General features: G+C 42.8%; 2 annotated features.

Moving 5' to 3' along the window:
* Positions 14,914 to 15,787: an enhancer, noted in NCBI's record as "OCT4-NANOG hESC enhancer chr7:66990375-66991248 (GRCh37/hg19 assembly coordinates)". NCBI's record gives its function as "activates a minimal SCP1, AML or CMV promoter by ChIP-STARR-seq in naive and primed H9 embryonic stem cells {active_cell/tissue: H9 hESC(naive and primed)}" and the evidence as "EXISTENCE:reporter gene assay evidence [ECO:0000049][PMID:30033119]".
* Positions 18,240 to 18,750: an enhancer, noted in NCBI's record as "NANOG hESC enhancer chr7:66987412-66987922 (GRCh37/hg19 assembly coordinates)". NCBI's record gives its function as "activates a minimal SCP1, AML or CMV promoter by ChIP-STARR-seq in naive H9 embryonic stem cells {active_cell/tissue: H9 hESC(naive)}" and the evidence as "EXISTENCE:reporter gene assay evidence [ECO:0000049][PMID:30033119]".

The following is an 18,991-nucleotide window of genomic DNA, read 5'->3' as shown; positions in this document are numbered from 1 at the left end:
CGATCTCGGCTCACTAAAACCTCCACCTCCCAGGTCCAAGCAATTCTCCTGCCTCAGCCTCCCAAGTAGCTGGGATTACAGGCATCAGCCACCATGCTTAGCTAATTTTTGTATTTTTAGTAGAGACGGGGTTTCACCATGTTAGTCAGGCTGGTCTCAAACCCCTGACCTCACGTGATCCACCCACCTCGGCCTCCCAAACTGCTGGGATTACAGGCGTAAGCCACCAAGCCTGGCCTGAGTATGATCTTAAAGGAAGTAATGAATATGGATGACAGGTGGTGAAAGAGAGAAGACACCACGTGGCTGGGAGTTATAGATGTGAGAAGGTGACTGACTCTAGGTCCTTTGTGCCTGAAAAGCCTATGATTATGTTAAGGAGATGTTGCTGTACCAGGACAACATGCAGGCTGGCCTGGCTAGAATAGAGGGGACTCACGCATGCAGGGCCCCAGTGCTAGCACACAAGGAGCCCGTATGGTACACAGTAAAGAAACAAATGTGTATCTCCGTTGAAAACCCTTATGAATCCTGTTTAAGTGTGTTGTCTGAAATGATGCAAACTGCAAAGCCACAATATGAAAGACTATAGAGCATGCAGGATCCATTTTCTTCAACAAATAAGTTACAAGAACAACAAAAAGAAGGTGGAGAAATTGTAGAAAAAATACCAAATGTTATGTGTGGACTTTGATTTTTGTAATGCACGGATATCTTGATTCAAACAAACTAAAACACATGCACACACACACATACACACATACACACACACACAAACACACACACTGAAGAAATAATCTGGGAAAGGCCAGGCGTGGTGGCTCACATCTGTAATCCCAACACTTTGGGAGGTCGAGGTAGGCATGTCATCTGAGGTCAGGGGTTCAAGACTAGCCTGGCCAACATGGAGAAACCCCGTCTTTACTAAAAATACAAAAAATTAGCCGTGCGTGGTGGTGCAAGCCTGTAATCTAAGTTACTCAGGAGGCTGAGGCAGGAGGATCGCTTGAACCTGGGAGGCAGAGGTTGCGGTGAGTCAAAATCGTGCCACTGCACTCCAGCCTGGGCAACCAGAGCAAAACTTTGTCCCCAAAAAAAAAATAAAAAGTAAAAGAAATAATCTGGGAAATGGGGATGCTCGCTAACTGGATATTTGATGAACTAATAAATTCTCTGAGTACACTGTAGACTAATATGCAGATATAAGAAGATAAGTCATATATCTGAATTATAAATTATAAGACGAAAAAGGTAAGGAGTAATAAGAGTTCCAAGGAGAAACATATTAAAATGCTGTGATGGTTCTGAAGAGGGAGTTGGTATCAGTGCAAGGAATTAGGAGGCTCAAGCCTGATGAGTAGCTACTGAGCAAAGAGTAAGCCAGGCCCCACCCCGAGGCCTTTTATAATCAGCACTGGCTTTCAAACTGTGATTGGCCAAATCCTGGGGCTTCTTGGAACCCTCCCCAGGGTTAACTTGATGGGGCAGAGGTACACATATTGGAGAGTTAGTTGAATGGTACGATGCCTTCTTTAACTAGAACGTATCAGCTTTTTAAGTGTCCAGGGAAGATTTCAGCTGGAGAAAGTACAACTGAAAAGAACCTTGAAAACCCCTGATCTATGGCTTTCCCAGTCATCTCCCCTCAGTGAACTGTCTTTACTCTTTCAGACGGTCAATTTTACCAGTAAGCACTTTGCTGAAAGTAGAAGAAATTCTGCTTTTTTGTGAGCTGAGCACAGATACCAGTGCTCAACCGCAGTTGAGTCGAAGTCCTGACTTAAGTCACGCAAAACACATAAAACTAGAGTTGTGCTATCTCCTTTGCCTTGTTAAAAAGGACACTGGAGCAGATAAATTTTATTGCAATAAATCTCACCATTAACAAATGGCAGTCATATATCTACATGATAAACCTGATGATTACAGATTGTTTCTACTATTTATTGGACCAATGAGAAAGATGTGTTTCAGAGCCAAGAGATGCAGCCAGATGTGTACAAAGGAAAGTCCTGCAATCTTGTCTTTAAATGGAAGAGTCCTGCTAAGGAAATGGGAATTTCCTTAAAGAAACTGTAAACAGGCCGGGCACCTTGGCTTACACTTGTAATCCCAGCACTTTGGGAGGCCGAGGCGGGCGGATTACGAGGTCAGGAGATCGAGACCATCCTGGCTAACGTGGTGAAACCCCGTCTCTACTAAACATACAAAAAATTAGCCAGGTGTGGTGACGGGCACCTGTCGTCCCAGCTACTCAGGAGACTGAGGCAGGAGAATGGCACGAACCAGGGAGGTGGAGCTTGCAGTGAGCTGAGATGGCACCACTGCACTCTAGCCTGGGTGACAGAGCGAGACTCTGTCTCAAAAAAAAAAAAAAAGAAAACTGTAAACAAACTGGGAAATTTATAAAGAAAAGAAGTTTAATTGGCTCACAGTTTCGCAGGCTGTACCCCGGAAGCATGGCTGAGGAGGCCTCAGGAAACTTTCAATCATGACGAATGGCGAAGGGGAAGCAGGCACATCTTACGTGGCCTGAGCAGGAGGAAGAAAGTGGGGGTGGCAGTGCCACACACTTTTAAACAACCAGATCTCATGAGAGCTCACTCACTATCACAAGAACAGCAAGGGGGAAATTCACCCCCATGATCCACTTACCTCCCACCAGGCCCCACCTCCAACATTGGGGATTACAATTCGACATGAAATATGGGTGGGGATACAAATCCAAACCGTATTAGCTACCTATAATGTATCCCCATTTAAAAAAACATAGCTCCTTTGCTCTGTATAATGGACATATTGTTTTGTCTCCCAAGTCCAGGCTAACAGTCCAGTATACCTAATCTCTAGATTAGCAATATTTCTAAAGAAGAAACCAGAATAAGTGGAGGAAAAGAAAAAAACAATAGTTTAATAGAAGACAATTTTCCTGGGCTGGAAAAAAAAAAGCACATGAGTGTGCAAATCAAAAATACTCAATGTTTTTTTGTTTTGTTTTGTTTTTTTGTTTTCTTTTGTTGAGACGGAGTTTTGCTCTTGTTGCCCAGGCTGGAGTGCAGTGGAGTGATCTTGGCTCACCGCAAACTCCGCTTCCAGGGTTCAAGTGATTCTCCTGCCTCAGCCTCCCAAGTAGCTGGGATTACAGGCGCCTGCCACCACCCCTGGCTAATTTTGTATTTTTAGTAAAGATGGGGTTTCACCATGTTGGCCAGGCTGGTCTCGAACTCTTGACCTCAGGTGATCCACCTGCCTCGGCCTCCCAAAGTGCTGAGATTATAGGCATGAGCCACTGCACCCCGCCTAGACTCACTGTTTTAAGTAAATTTATAAAAAGAGACAGACACAGTAGATATATTTTAGTGACATTTTCAATATCAAGGCTGGAGAAACTGCCACTAAGCTAAGAAAAATTAAACTATAATGACAAGTTGTGACAGAAGAACTAAAATTCAGCTAACCCTAGATTCTATTCTATCACTGCAAACACAGAAGAAAATGAAGTAATGTCTGTAGTGTTTAAGGGAGACATCTGTGACCCAAGAATTCTTTGCCTAACCCAGATGCTGTTCATGAGCCAAGGTGAAGGAAAGATAGTCTGAGATAGGTTATGCCACAGAAAATCCTATGACTGAGGCACTCCTGAAAATCTTAACCAAAGTTTTCATCAAAGCCTAGCAGATGCACCAAAAATAAGTGCTCAAGATCAGAGAAATTATAAAATCAAGCATGGACACTATTAACCAGAGATTGTCTAAATAATTGGCATAAACTGGTAATTAAAGGAATGCCCAAGTCAACAGAGATTCCTGAGATGAGTTATTGTAAAAAATGTCAATATTAATAAAAACATGCATCCTACAATGTATGCTGCAGATTCTACTTGCATGGCCAAGAAAAGTTGAACAAAAAGAGTTAAGACACATCTTGAATTCCCCATTTCAAAAAGAAAAGTCAAAAGTTTTCATATTAATTTTGTATTTAATAGTTATAGATATTGCCCAAGCAAAGATATTTTTGAAAAATGTAAAACTAACATTTATTAAAATTAAATATTGGCTACCCTTTATTGACTCACAAGGGAAAATCAAAGAAAGCATGGTCTATAAGGCAAAATAATGAAATATGAATGACAGAATGCATGAAATAATATAATTAAAAGTAATTATATTATGATAATAAATAAAAATGGGTTAAATTTCTAATACAAAAAAGTACAGGTCCAGTTTAATTAGCATTGCGCTGAAGGTCCCCAAGTTCTCAAGAATGTGTGCATTAGCCAGACACTTATTAATAAATGTTTTGTACCTAGATATCATAAATAAAAGAGGGCTAGCTTGTACACAATATACATAAATAACATTTATTTTAAATACTTAATAATTTAGGCCTAGTGCAGTGGCTGACACCATAATCCCAGCACTTTGAGAGGCCAAGGCAGGCAGACCACTTGAGGTCAGGAGGTTGAGACTAGCCTGGCCAACACGGGGAAACTCCATCTTTAGAAAAATACAAAAATTAGCTGGGCGCGGTGGCAGTCGCCTGTAGTCCCAGCTTCCTGGGAGACTGAGGCAGGAGAATTGCTTGAACCCAGGAGGTGGTGGTTGCAGTGAGCAGAGATTGCGCCATTGCACTCCAGCCTGGGCAACAGAACAAGACTCTGTCTCAAAAAAAAAAAAAAAGTATGCACCTGAACTGTCCCCTGTTGGTGTATCAGCTGCCTGCCTCCCAGTGTGCAAATCTAGCACACAGTCCTTAAGCTCTGTGTTTACCCATCTGCATGCATCTATTAAAATCAGCACATATACACCATGGAATACTATGCAGCCATTAAAAAAGAATGAGTTCATGTCCTTTACAGGGACATGGATGAAGCTGGAAACCATCATCCTCAGCAAACTAACACAGAAACAGAAAACCAAACAGCACATGTTCTCACTCATAAGTGGGAGTTGAACAATCAGAACACATGGACACAGGGAGGGGAACATCACACACCAGGGCCTGTCAGGGTGTTAGGGGAAAGCGGAGGGAGAGCATTAGGACAAATACCTAATGCGTGTGGGGCTTAAAACCTAGAGGACGGGTTGATAGGTGCAGCAAACCACCATGACACATGTATACCTGTGTAACAAACCTGCACGTTCTGCACATATATCCCAGAACTGAAAGTAAAGTAAATACAGTAAAATAAATAAAGTAAAATAAAAATTATAAAAATATTTAACATAAAAATTTCCCTACCTAAAATTTCTATTCTCATCCCAAGATGGCCACTGTTGAGGAATATATATATATATGAGCCACTGCACTCTGCCTAAATTATTAAATATTTTAAATAAATGTTATTTATATATATTGTGTACAAGCTAGCCCTCTTTTATTTTTATTTTTATTATTTAATTTATTTTATTTTTATTATTATTATTTTTAAATAGGAACAAATATATATATATGTCTATGTATATATTCTTCCGGTATTCCAGTATTTTTAAAAATGCATATTGTAAAATAAAAGAACATTTTTCTCAAAAAAACAGTCACAGGTTCTGGGCTAGAGGGGTGCGGACTATAACTCGTTTAAGTTGAACTTGGTAAGAAAAGAAACATTCATAAATATTTCAATTTGGAGGTTTGAAAAAAAATAAAAGAATGAGGAGGACCACCAGCGGCTGTCCTTGGAATCCTGAATTGTTAGCGAGAAGCCTGGCATCAAGAAGTGAGAAAATGCCGACAAAACACCAGGCAGAGTGCAAACACACTTGTCAAATTCACAGAGCCAGAAAAAGCGATTCCTGCAGTTTATCTACCCCAAGTGGATTCAATCTAGTAGAGAGGTGGAGATTTTGTGGCATTTACAATTTTCGTTGTTAAGTTTGAAAAAAAAAAAAGGAGAAACATGGGGAAAAGAAAATGAAGAGAGCAAACTAGGAGGTGGGAAGCAGAAAAGCAGCTTCGAGAGTAGGTCAAAGTCCCCCTTTAAGAAGGGAAGAAACTAATGCCTAAATAAGTAACGTGACTCACCCCAAAGTCCTTAAAAAAAGGTTTTAAAGGGTACATGGATATGATTAGTCACAGACATTGGGAAAGGGAAATGGGGAAATTGTCCAAAGTCAAATCTCACAAGTTATCTCTCCCCAACTGCATTAAGTTTCAAGGCTTTGAAAAAATTCTTTGTGCTTTATGGCTCCAGCCTCTCAGCTTATGGATCCACCATTATTCGGCCTACCATAGGGTCCTTGATAATTTTGAAGACTGCAAAGGTGCCGGACACAGTGGCTCACACCTGTAATCCCAGCACTTTGAGAGGCCAACATGGGCAGATCACCTGAGCTCAGGAGTTCAAGACCAGCCTGGCCAACAGGTGAAACCCCGTCTCTACTAAAATTAGCTGGGTGTGGTGGTGGGCACCTGTAATCCCAGCTACTCGGGAGGCTGAGACAGGAGAATCACTGGAACTCGGGAGGCAGAGATTGCAGTGAGCCAATATTGAGCCACTGCACTCCAGCCTGAGTGACAGAGCAAGACTCCATCTCAACATAAAAAAAAAAAAGAAACAAAAAAAAATGCAAAGGTGAAGCCAAGTTTGAGAATTGCTTCATTAAATCAGATGTGATCAGTAGATCAGTAGTTAGGGGTGAAACAGAGGGGAGAGAAGGTTGATTCCAAACATATTGTATTAGTCCATTTTCACGCTGCTGATAAAGACATACCCAAGACTGGATAATTTAGAAAGAAAAGAGGTTTAATGGACTCACAGTTCCACGTGGCTGGGGAGGCCTCACAATCATGGCAGAAGGTGGGGAAAGAACAAAGACACATCTTACATGGGTGGCAGCAGGCAAAGAGAGAACGAGAGCCAACCAAAGGGGAAAACTCCTTATAAAATTATCAGATCTCATGAAACTTATCTACTACCACAAGAACAGTATGGGGGAAACAAGCCCAGTGATTCAATTATCTCCCACTGGATCCTTCCCACAACACATGGGAATTATGGGAATTATGGGAGCTATATTAAAGATGAGATTTCAATGGGGACACAGTCAAACCATATCACATATCTTTCCCCATAATCTGCCAGTGACATACTCTCTTACTCTCTTTTGATTTTTGTTCCAATTATTCTTGCCATATAACAACCCACCCCAAAATGTAGAGACTTAAAACAGCAGTCATTTCTTTTGCTCATGGATCTGCAACTTGGGCAGGACTCAATGGGGACAACTCATCTCTATTCCATGATATCTAGGGCACAGCAAATAAGCCTCAACCACTGGGGGATCTGAAGGCTTGTTTACTAACATCAGTGGTTGATGCTGGCTGTCACTGGGACCTCAGCTAGGGCTGTTGACTGGAGCACCCACACATGGTCTCTCCTTGTGGCCTGGCCTTCCTTGCTCCATGGTGGTTGGGCTCCAAGAATGAATATCACAACAGGACAAGGCTGGAACTTTATTGCCTTTTATGACCTAGCACCAGAAGTCACATAGTGTCACTTTTTCCATAATCACATGTGACACAGATTCCATTGACAGGAGTGTAGACCTCACCTCTCAGTGAATCATATTGATGTTAAACGACTGTTAAAAGAACATTTGGAATGGGAGAGATTATTGACACCATCTTGGAAAATATATTCTGCCACAACTTAGACAGGGATTCTTAACTTAGGATTGGGTGGAAGGAGAAGCCTAACCCTTTTTTAGGCTACTTTGAGGTTGTAGGGGCTGAGTTTGAAAAAGCATAGTAAAAAATGTATAATATTATTCATATTTGTAATATTTTCACAACAAAGACTTCAGAAAATAAAGCTTAACAGGCTTTTCTTGACTAGTAGGCATATTCAGATAATATTATGGCTCCCATTGAAGGAACCATGTCAGAATGGAAGATCAAGACTTTTATGTTCAGAAAAGAGAGGCCATGTGTTTGAAAGGTTTGAAATTTGCTGGCTGAAGACTGTCTTGCAATAAAAGTGGAACCTTCCAGAAAGGCTGGTACATTTGCCTGACTTTGAGTTCATCCAAGTGGGGCACAGTGGCTCACACCTGTAATCCCAGCACTTTGGGAGGCCAAAGCATGTAGATCACTTGAGCTCAGGAGTTTGAGACCAGCCTGGGCAACATGGCAAAACCCTGTCTCTAAAAAAAATACAAAAATTAGCCAGGTGTGATGGCATGCACCTATAATCCCAGCTACTCAGGAGGCTGAGGTGGGAGAATCACTTGAGCCCATGAAGTGGAGGTTGCAGTGAGCCAAGATCACACCACTGCACTTCAGCCTGGGTGACAGAGTTAGGCACTGTCTCAAAAAATAAAATAGAATAAAAAATGAGTTTCTCATATACTTTTATGAAATGAGATTTCAGTGGGGGTGACAAAACATGCCAGGGTCCTAAAATTGTGGGTGGAAGAGACACTGCCGAAATTTGAATAATAGCAAAAAATAGAACTCTCTCATCATTTTTTTCAGGATCAGCTCTGCCTAAAAGGGCCACTGGTCCTAGTTGAAACTGCACAGCTTTTTCTTGTGATATTAATTAGTCCTTCCAGAATGTTCTGAGAACATTCAGCATATGCTGAGAGTATTTGTGGAGTCAGAGACCCACAAAGCTGGAGGGGTCTTTATGGATGATACAGGAATGGTAACCATGCCTGCGTCCCTTCAGGGCCACAGCAGACATTACTAACTGATCAAAGCACTCTCCCTGCTAAGACCACAGCAGACATTACTAAGTCATTGAAGCACCCTTCCAGCTGAATCCAGACAACCTCAGGATCCTTCTCAACAGCTCTCCTGGCACCCAGTCTCTAATGGATCTGATCTAATGTAGCAGTTCTCAAACTTGTGTCCAGGATTCCTTTGCATTCTTAAAAATTAAGGACCCTACGGTTGGCAGAATAAAGGTGGCCATAAACCCAGAGGACAGAGCCACAAACCACAAAGAATTGTTTCCAAACCTTGAAAATTAATGGTGATTGCCTGGCTGGATTTCAAAATTGCTTAGGATCAGTGATTCCATTTTTCCTTCCACTTTCTCCCTTTGGAATGAGAATGTCTATAACTGTTGTCCCATGCCCATTCCACCATTGTATTTTGGAAGCAGATAACTTGTTTTCTAATTTCCCAGGTCCACAGATGGAGAGGAGTGATGCTCCAGGAAGAACCGTACTCAGGATTTCACCCACACTTGATTTAGAGGGAGAAATTTGGAACTTTGGAGTTGATGAGATTTAGATGACATTTTTAGACTTTGAATCGATGTTGTAATGGTTTGAGACGTTGAGGAATATTGGGATGAAATTAATGTAATTTGCTTTGTGGGATAGAAATCAATCTTTAAGGGACAGTGGGTAGACTGTAGTTGGCAGAATAATTAAACCTCAAAGAAGTTAACATCCTTATCCCCCAAACCTATGATTATGTGACTTTTCATGGCCAAAGGGAATTTGCACATGAGTTTAAAGGTAAGAAAATGGGGAGATTATCCTAGATTATCCAGGTGGGCCCAATCTAATCACACAAATCTTATCCATCTGGGATCAGATTGGGAGCTGTGATTATGGGGAGAAAGAAATGCATCATTGCTCACTTTGGAAATGGAGGAAGGGGCCACAAACTAGAGAATGGAGGTGGCCTCTTTAAGCCAGAAAAAGCAAGGAAACAGATTCTCCCCAAAAACCTCCAGAAGGAATGCAGCTCTGCCCCTATCTTGATTTCAGCTCAGGGAGACCTATGTCAGAAATCTAACCTACAGAATTATAAAATAATAAGTTTGTGTTGTTTTAAGTTACTAGATTTGTGATCATTTGTTACAGCGGCAATAGAAAACTAATACAAACTTCAAGGAAGTCTTATATCTATTTATCTATTGATATTTATTATGTTGGAAATTATACTAAAAATATCTTCAAATGTTTACTTATTTAAAATCAGAATAACAAATCAATTATGTATTCTCATGGATAACATATTTTTATTTAAAATACAAGTATTTTCTAAACAATCATAATAAAGTGTGGCATTGTCTTACATTTTTATAAATCTCTGTATTATCAGGCTTAATATAAGATAGCTAGATTCTCAGACCTGCTTCTGCATTCGGAAGAATTAAGATATGTTGTTTTGGTCAAAGTACATGAAGAAAATCCAGCCTCATACAAAAATGTAGTTGAAAAGGAAAGGGAACATTTAATAACAGATAATTGTGAATATTATTTGATACTACAATCAAAATGCAACATTAGGTGGGTCTTTTGGTTTTTTGGGGGGGACAGGGTCTTACTCTGCCACCCAGGCTGGAGTACAGTGGGGCAATCATGGCTCACTGCAGCTTCGACCTTCCAGGTTCAAGTGATCCTCCTGTCTCAGCCTCCTGAGTAGCATGTGCCACCACAGGCACTACAGGCATGTGCCACTACACTAAGCTAATGATATGGTTTGGCTGTGTCCCCAGCAAATCTCAACTTGAATTGTATCTTTCAGAATTCCCATGTGTTGTAGGAGGGACCCAGAGGGTGGTAATTGAATCATGGGGGCCAGTCTTTCCTGTGCCATTCTTGTGATAGTGAATAAGTCTCATGAGATCTGATGGGTTTATCAGGGGTTTCTGCTTTTTCTTCTTCCTCATTCTCTCTTACCACTGCCATGTAAGAAGTGTCTTTCACCTTCTGCCATGATTCTGAAGCCTCCTCAGCCATGCGGAACTGTAAGTCCAATTAAACCTCTTTTTCCTTCCAAATCTCAGGTATGTCTTTGTCAGCAGCATGAAAATGGACTAATACAGTAAATTGGTACTGGGAGTGGGGCATTGCTGAAAAGATATCCGAAAATGTGGAAGCGACTCTGGAACTGGGTAACAAGCAGAAATTGGAGGTTTGGAGGGCTCAGAAGAAGAAAGGAAAAATGTGGGAAAGTTTGGAACTTCCTAGAGACTTGTTGAATGGCTTTGCCCAAAATGCTGACAGCGATATGGAAAATAAGGTCCAGGCTGAGATAGTCTCAGAGGGAAATAAGGAACTTGTTGGGAACTGGAGTAAAGGTGACTCTTCTTATGTTTTATCAAAGAGACTGGTGGCATTTTGCCCCTGCCCTAGAGATCTGTAAAACTTTGAACTCAAGAAAGATGATTTAGGGTATCTAGTGGAAGAAATTTCTAAGCAGCAAAGCATGCAAGAGGTGGCTTGGGTACTGTTAAAGGCATTCACCTTTACAAGGGAAGCAGAGCATAAAAGTTTGGAAAAATTTGCAGCTTGACTATGCGACAGGAAAGAAAAACCCATTTTCTGGGGAGAAATTCAAGCCAGCTATAGAAATTAGCATAAATAGCAAGCAGCCTAATGTTAATCCCCAAGACCATAGGGAAAATGTCTCCAGGCCACGCCAGAGACCTTCACAGCAGCCCTTCCCATCATAGGCCCAGAAGCCCAGGAGAAAAAGATGGTTTCGTGGGTCAGGCCCAGGGTCCCCGTGCTGTGTGCAGCCTAGGGACTTGGTTCCCTGTGTCCCAGCTGCTCCAGCCATGGCTGAAAGGGGCCAACATACAGCTCGGGCTGTGGCTTCAGAGGGTGGAAGCCCCAAGCCTTGGCAGCTTCCACATGGTGTTGAACCTGAAGGTGCACAGAAGTCAAGAATTGAGGTTTGGGAACCTCTGTCCAGATTTCAGAAGATGTATAGAAACGCCTGGATGCCCAGGCAGAAGTTTGCTACAGGGGTGGTGCCCTCGTGAAGAACTTCTGCTAGGGCAGTGCGGAAGGGAAATGTGGGGTCGGAGCCCCCACACAGAGTCTCTACTGGGGCACTGCCTAGTGGAGCTGTGAGAAGAGGGCACCCGTTCTCCAGACCCCAGAATGGTAGATCCACCAACAGCTTGCACCGTGCACCCGGAAAAGCCACAGACACTCAATGCCAGCCCATGAAAGCAGCTGGGAGGGAGGCTATTCCCTGCAAAGCCACAGGGGCAGAGCTGCCCAAGACCATGGGAACCCACCTCTTGCCTCAGCGTGACCTGGAAGTGAGAACTGGAATCAAAGGAGACCATTTTGGAGTTTTAAAATTTAACTGCCCTACTGAATTTTGGACTTGCACGGGCCCTGTAACCCCTTTGTTTTGGCTAATTTCTCCCATTGGGAAAGGCTGTATTTACCCAATGTCTGTACCCCCCAACTCCCTCCACCTTGTATCTAGGAAGTAACTAGCTTGCTTTTGATTTTACAGGCTCATAGGCAGAAGGGACTTGCCTTGTCTCAGATGAGACTTTGGACTGTGGACTTTCGGGTTAATGCTGAAATGAGTTAAGACTTTGGGGGACTGTTGGGAAGACATGATTGGTTTTGAAATGTGAAAACATGAGATTTGGAGGCGCCGGGGGTGGAATGATATGGTTTGGCTGTGTCCCCACCAAATCTCAACTTGAATTGTATCTTCTAGAATTCCCACGTGTTGTGGGAGGGATGCAGTGGGAGGTAATTGAATCAAGGAGGCCGGTCTTACCCATGCTATTCTTGTGATAGTGAGTAAGTCTCATGAGGTCTGATGGGTTTATCAGGGGTTTCCACTTTTGCTTCTTCCTCATTCTGTCTTGGCACTGCCATTTCAGAAGTGCCTTTTACCTCCCACTGTGATTCTGAGGCTTCCCCTGCCATGTGGAACTGTAAGTCCAATTAAACCTCTTTTTCTTCTCAGTCTTGGATACGTCTTTATCAGCAGCATGAAAACAGACTAATACAGCTAATTTTTTTATTTTTTGTAGCGATGAGGTTTTGCCATGTTCCTCAGGCTGGTCTCAAATTCTTGACCTCAAGGAATCCTACCACTTGGCCCCCCGAAGTACTGAAATTACAGGTGTGAGCCACTGCGCCTGGCCACATGAGGTAGTTTTTAAAAGGTTGAATACAATGTAGAATCTGAAACATATGAATGAAGTTTTTATAATCTATTTCATTAAAACCCATTGATCTACCTGCCCTTTGGCTCTCTTATTGGAACATGAGTTTGTCACATCATGCTTTGGTCATTAGAAATATGCTACTTCACTGAGTTACATGGGTCTTCAAGATGTGGACACACTATAAGATACAATATCAAAACAAATAGCATATTTGTCAATATCTTCACCAATCTCAGAAAAGTCATTAAGTATTGGGAAGCTGTCAAGCTCATGGTGACAGATACAAGTTTTCCAAAAATCTAATATTCACTTAAAAGCTAGAGTTTTATCCTTGGTAATAAATACTGTGATTTGTTTGACTTGAAGTGACAGGCTCACTTTGTTAATTTCCAAGAAAATGTGTGTCATAGCTTGTCTGTCAATTGTTACTTCGATTAAAAATGTGTTCCATGAAAAAGCCGACTAGTTCAACTTACATCTCCAACTATCCCACCTGAGGTTCTTCTCAAGGCAACCACTGTACCTTATTATGCATTTGGACAATCAGAATAGTAGAAGGAGGTGTACTCAAGGGTGGAGATTTAATAAAATCAATAACTTTTACTGCTTCGTCAAGGACATTCTCAAGTGAAACTCGCTCTTTTTTTTTTTTGCTTTGCTTTTTTTTTTTTATAACTGTGCATGCATGATGGTAAAGAATGTCATGAGACTAGCACAGTTTGAGGTCACCACTAAGGCACGATTGTTTGCACATTCAGTGCAAATGTCAACTCAGTGAACACAGCAAACCACACCTTAATATTCTTGTAGAGATGGGATTTCACCATATTGGCCAGGCTGGTCTCGAACTCCTGACCTCATAATCCACCAGCCTCAGTCTCCCAAAGTACTGTTAAGCTGGGCATGCCTGTAATCCTAGCACTTTGGGAGACCAAGGCAGGTGAATTGCTTGAGCTCAGGAGTTCGAGATCAGCCTGGGCAAAAAATGATTTGGACTTCATACATGTCCTGATAGTGTCTCTGGCACCGTCAGGAGTCCATGGGCCACACACTTTGAGAACTGCTCATCTAATGTACCATTTTCATTTTGTATATGGAGAAACTGGGGCCCAGAGAGGGAATAAATGACTCCTGGCTTCAACATTGTCTCACTGCGTTGTCACAGGTTGGATTCCCCAGCAAGCTGACTCTGAGATGGAGTTGATGTACAGGAAATTGTTAAGGGTAGGGGGAAGAGGAAGTTCTCCTTTCTATACCTGTGAAGAGCTAGGATGTAAGCAACAGTGGCTACTTCCACTGTCCCAATGACAGCCTTGTTACCTGAAAGGAGCCCTGATCCAGACTCCAAGAGAGGGCTCTTGGACCTCACACAAGAAAGAATTCAGAGAAAGTCTAAAAAGTGAAAGCAAGTTTATTAAGAAATAAAGAATGGCTATTCCATAGGCAGAGCAGTAGCTTGGGTTCTCGACTGATAATACTTACAGTTATTTCTTGATTATATGCTAAACAATGGGTGGATTATTCATGAATTTTTCAGGAAAGGAGTGGGCGATTCCTGGAACTGAGGGTTCTTCCCCTTTTTAGATGATCTAGGGTAACATACGGGCATTGCCATGGCATTTGTAAGCTGTCATGGCACTGGTGGGAGTGTCTTTTAGCATGCTAATGCATTATAATTTGCACATAATGAGCAGTAAGGACGACCAGAGGTCACTTTTGTTGACATCTTGGTTTTGGTGGGTTTTGGCCGCTGCTTCACTGCAACCTGTTTTATCAGGAAGGTCTTTATGACCTGTGTCTTGTGCTGACCTCCTATCTCATCCTGTGACGGAATACCTAACCTCCTGGGAATGTGGCCCAGTAGGTCTCAGCCTTATTTTACCTAGCTCCTATTCAAGATGGAGTCACTCTGGTTCAAATGCCTCTGACAGCCTCAGTCAACCATCTGAAGCTAGAACCACCTTTCAGAATTGCCCCGAGTTGCCCTTACCTCCCATCTTGACTTACTCATTAATAAATTATTTCTGAAAGTGGTTCAAGGATTAAATCAGTTAGCACATCAAAGTCTAACATGGCCTTATTATCATTAGATTCTGGCCTCCTCAAGGTCACACATTGATACTGGGAACGTGCAGGTCGTTGAACCCAGGTGCCCTGTTTTCCATCCACTTTGCCTCTCTCTGTTTCCCTGTCCTTTCCACACTGCCCTAAAAAATAATGACTGAGAAACAGCCCTGTGTCTCCAGGCAGGCTCACTATCCAAGGCTTCTTGCTGAAAGTTTATTTGCACTGAAAATGGTCTGTCCTTGAAATTGACAGGCTGTGATTTTGAACAGATCTGTCCTACTCAGAGGCTTAAGGGTTTCATTTGATTCCACTTCAAAGCCATCTCATGCTCCCAAGGTATCCCCAGGCTCCCTGGGACCTGGGTAAATATTCTATTTGCTTGCATAAAGGCCTCTGAGAATGCCTCATTACTCGACACAATAGGTGACTTAATCTGTGGGTCATGGTTAAGTGACTGCACCACTTTGCAACACAACGCAGACTGCATAATCTCCCGGGATGCTCAAGTCAGACAAGAGGCTGAGGGCAGCTCTGCAAGGCACCAGATTGCACGCTTAGTGCTGGGGTGCACCAGCAAATGTGGCTGCTTCCAGGCATTGCTCCCCTGCCCACACCTGCAACCTGCACAACAGCCACCAAGTCAACCTTCAAGATACTCATCAGAGGTCATTCCACCTCCGAAACTTTCTGCATCTCTTGGTAGGCTACCACATTGAGCTCAAACTCCTATCCCCTTCTCAAGGCCTGTCATCGCCCCTTTGTAGCAGGACAAGCTGCAGACAAAACCCCTCAGACACCGAGTTAAAGAAGGAAGGGCTTTATTCGGCCAGGAGCTTCAGCAAGACTCATGTCTCCAACAACTGAGTTCCCCGAGTGAGCAATTTCTGTCCTTCTTAAGGGCTTACAACTCTAAGGGGGTCTGCGTGAGAGGGTAGTGAGCGATTGAGCAAGCAGGGGGTACGTGACTGGGGGCTGCATGCACCGGTAATTAGAACGGAACAGAACAGGACAGGGATTTTCACAGTGCTTTTCTATACAATGTGACTTTTGAACAGATCTGTCTATAGATAACATAACCGATTAGGTCAGGGGTCGATCTTTAACTACCAGGCCCACAGTGTGGCACTGGGCTGTCTGCCTGTGGATTTCATTTCTGCCTTTTAGTTTTTACTTCTTCTTTCTTTGGAGGCAGACATTGGGCATAAGACAATATGAGGGGTGGTCTCCTCCCTTACCCTCACCTCTAACACACACATCCTGCTCCAACAAAACTGGCCCCTTTCTGCTCCCTCCAGCACATTGCAGTCACACTGACCACGTTGCCTCCCAACCCAGAAATTGTCCCCATTTCCCCATGTCCTTTTTAAAGCAGGTCCATCATTCAAGGAACAGCTCAGTTCAACTCCTCCAGAGAGCTCTGCTGATGATTCCAGCCCTATCCTTTGGACTATTTCTATTCAAATTATCTGTCCCATACAACGTGGAACTTGATCATATTGTCAGAGGTGTTTGAACAAGAGTCCATCTCGAATAGGGGCTCGGTAAAAGAAGGCCGAGACCCACTGGGCTGCATTCCCAGGAGGTTAGGCCTTCTAAGTCACAGGATGAGATACAGGTTATAAAGACCTTGCTGATAAAACAGTCTGTGGTAAAGAAGCCGGCCAAAACCCACCAAAACCAAGATGGCGACCAAAGTAACCTCTGGTCATCCTCACTGCTCACCATACACTAATTATAATACATTAGCATGCTAAAAAATATGCCCACCAGTGCCATGACAGTTTACACATGCCATGGCAACGTCCAAAAGTTACCCATAAGCTCTAAAAAGGGGAGAAACCCTTAGTTCCAGGAATTATCCACCACTTTCCCAAAAAACTCATGAGTAATCCACCCCCATTTAGCATATAATCAAGAAATAACTGTAAAAGTGGGCAACCAGCAGCACTTGGGGCTGCTCTGTTTATGGAGTAGCCATTCTTTTATTCCTTTACTTTCCTAATAAACTTGCCTTCACTGTACTCTGTGGACTTGCCCCAAATTCTTTCTTGGGCAAGATTTGAGAATCCAAAAAACAAAACAAAAGATTCCAGAACCCTCTCTCGGGGTCTGCATTGAGACCCCTTTCTGGTAACAATATGCCATCTCGGATGTTCACCTTTGTCTCTTGGCTTATAATCAACTCAGAGCAATTCACTGAGGTATTACTACATTCCACAGTCTGAGCTGAATAGATGCAAAGATGAACCAAGCATCTGCCCTGTCCTGAAGGAGCTGAGGCTGGAGCCGCACCCACCACAGCTGTGCAATGAAACAGGCGGTTGCTATCTTCTGAAGAGTCCCCTAGCACCCAGCCCAAGGAGGAAGCACTGGGCAGTGGGAAGCTTCAGTTTTGGAGCCAGCAGATCCGGGACACATGCCCTTCCACCTGTTAGCTTACAACTACTCTCTAACAAGCCTTAAACAAGTCTGCACCCCTTCCCAGTTTAGTACCAAAAAGCAGGCACCTCCTCTACCTATGGATAAACTCACAGCTGAACGTAGAGATAAATAATAATATAGTATGTGCTGAGCACATTAAGTGGATTAACACACTTAATCTTCTTAACTCTATGAAGTAGCTACACCTATTATTACCCACATTTTATGCTTGTGGAGGTAATGACTAGTCCAAGATCACACAACTAATAAATACAATAGCCAAGAGTGGAACTCAAGTGGGTCTCATTCCAGAGCCCCAGCTCTCAATAACAATAATTATCTTCAGAATAGCAGCCAATGTTTCTGAGCTTAATATATAGGCACTGTGCCAAGTATATTACCTGGATTAGCTCATTAATCCCCCCAAATCAAGTTACTGGAGCCACTTTACAGATGAGAAATAAACTCTTGTGTTGCAGATAGTGACTATCTGAGGCCAGTGTCGTGTGGGCAGTAAGAGAATCTCCCAAGACAGTCACAGGTAAACAAAAGCAGATTTATTAGAGAAAGTATGAAAATACATTGCAAGGAAGCAATGGGCAGGTCAGCAAGATGGGGGCTGACTGCAAAGAGATGACAAAGGCTTGCTGACGATTTTATGGAATGGTGCTTGTGCTGTGTGGTGAAGAGGGCTTTGTACAGTCTGATAATGCCAAGGCTGCAGTGAATTAACTTGCATTTTTCATCAGCCAAGGGTCTGGTGATAGCTGGGTGCAGGAAGATTGTGGGTTATTTGCACAGCAGGCCTATGTGTTCTGGACCATGAAGAAAGGCGGACTTATAGCTTATGGTCTTTCTCTTTTTGCTTTCCCTTGGTCCTGCCAGCCCAACTCCCCCTTCCTAATTAGGACTCCACATCTTGAAGAGGTTAACTTGCTCAAGATGTCACAGCTAAGTAGAGTAAAATCCCAGGCAGCCTAAGGCCAGAAACAACTGTTTAATTCACTTGCAATGATGCCTTCATCTCAGCTATCCGGAATCCAGACAATGGCATAGCTGCCTCTTTTAACAGAGTCATCTGTGACCCAGCGTGAGATCCTGATCAACTACCACCCTGGTTCACGCCCTTCTTCTGTTTTCACAGAAAGTGACCATCTTTCTCTGATGAGAGTGAAACAGCAGGGATCCCCTTTTCTTTTAGGAGCCTGCAGACCTCAAGCATGGAGATTAAGGAAAATCTCCATGCTTGAGGAAGTTCTCTCAAGGGAAATTCCAGGCACCTTGCTAGCCCCAGAAGTAAATAAGTAATTTGTTAAATAAGAAGGTAAGAGTAGCCTAAACGAATATAACCAAGGAAGCTGAAGTTCTACAGACATTTGCATTCCCTATGGAAACTGTAAACCAAAAAGTATCTGACATGAGTCTCAATCAATTTGGAAGTTAATTTTGCCAAGGTTAAGGACATGCCCATAACACAGCCTCAGGAGGTCCTGATGACATGTCCCAAGGTGGCTGGGTTACAGCTTGGTTTAATACATTTAGGGAGACATAAGACCCCAATCAACACATGTAACATGTACCTTGGTTTGGTCCAGAAAGGCAGGACAACTGGAA

This window comes from Homo sapiens, chromosome 7 (genome assembly GCF_000001405.40).
Source record: "Homo sapiens chromosome 7, GRCh38.p14 Primary Assembly".
Taxonomy (NCBI): Eukaryota; Metazoa; Chordata; class Mammalia; order Primates; family Hominidae; genus Homo; species Homo sapiens.
This window is presented reverse-complemented; position numbering and strand designations above follow the sequence as displayed.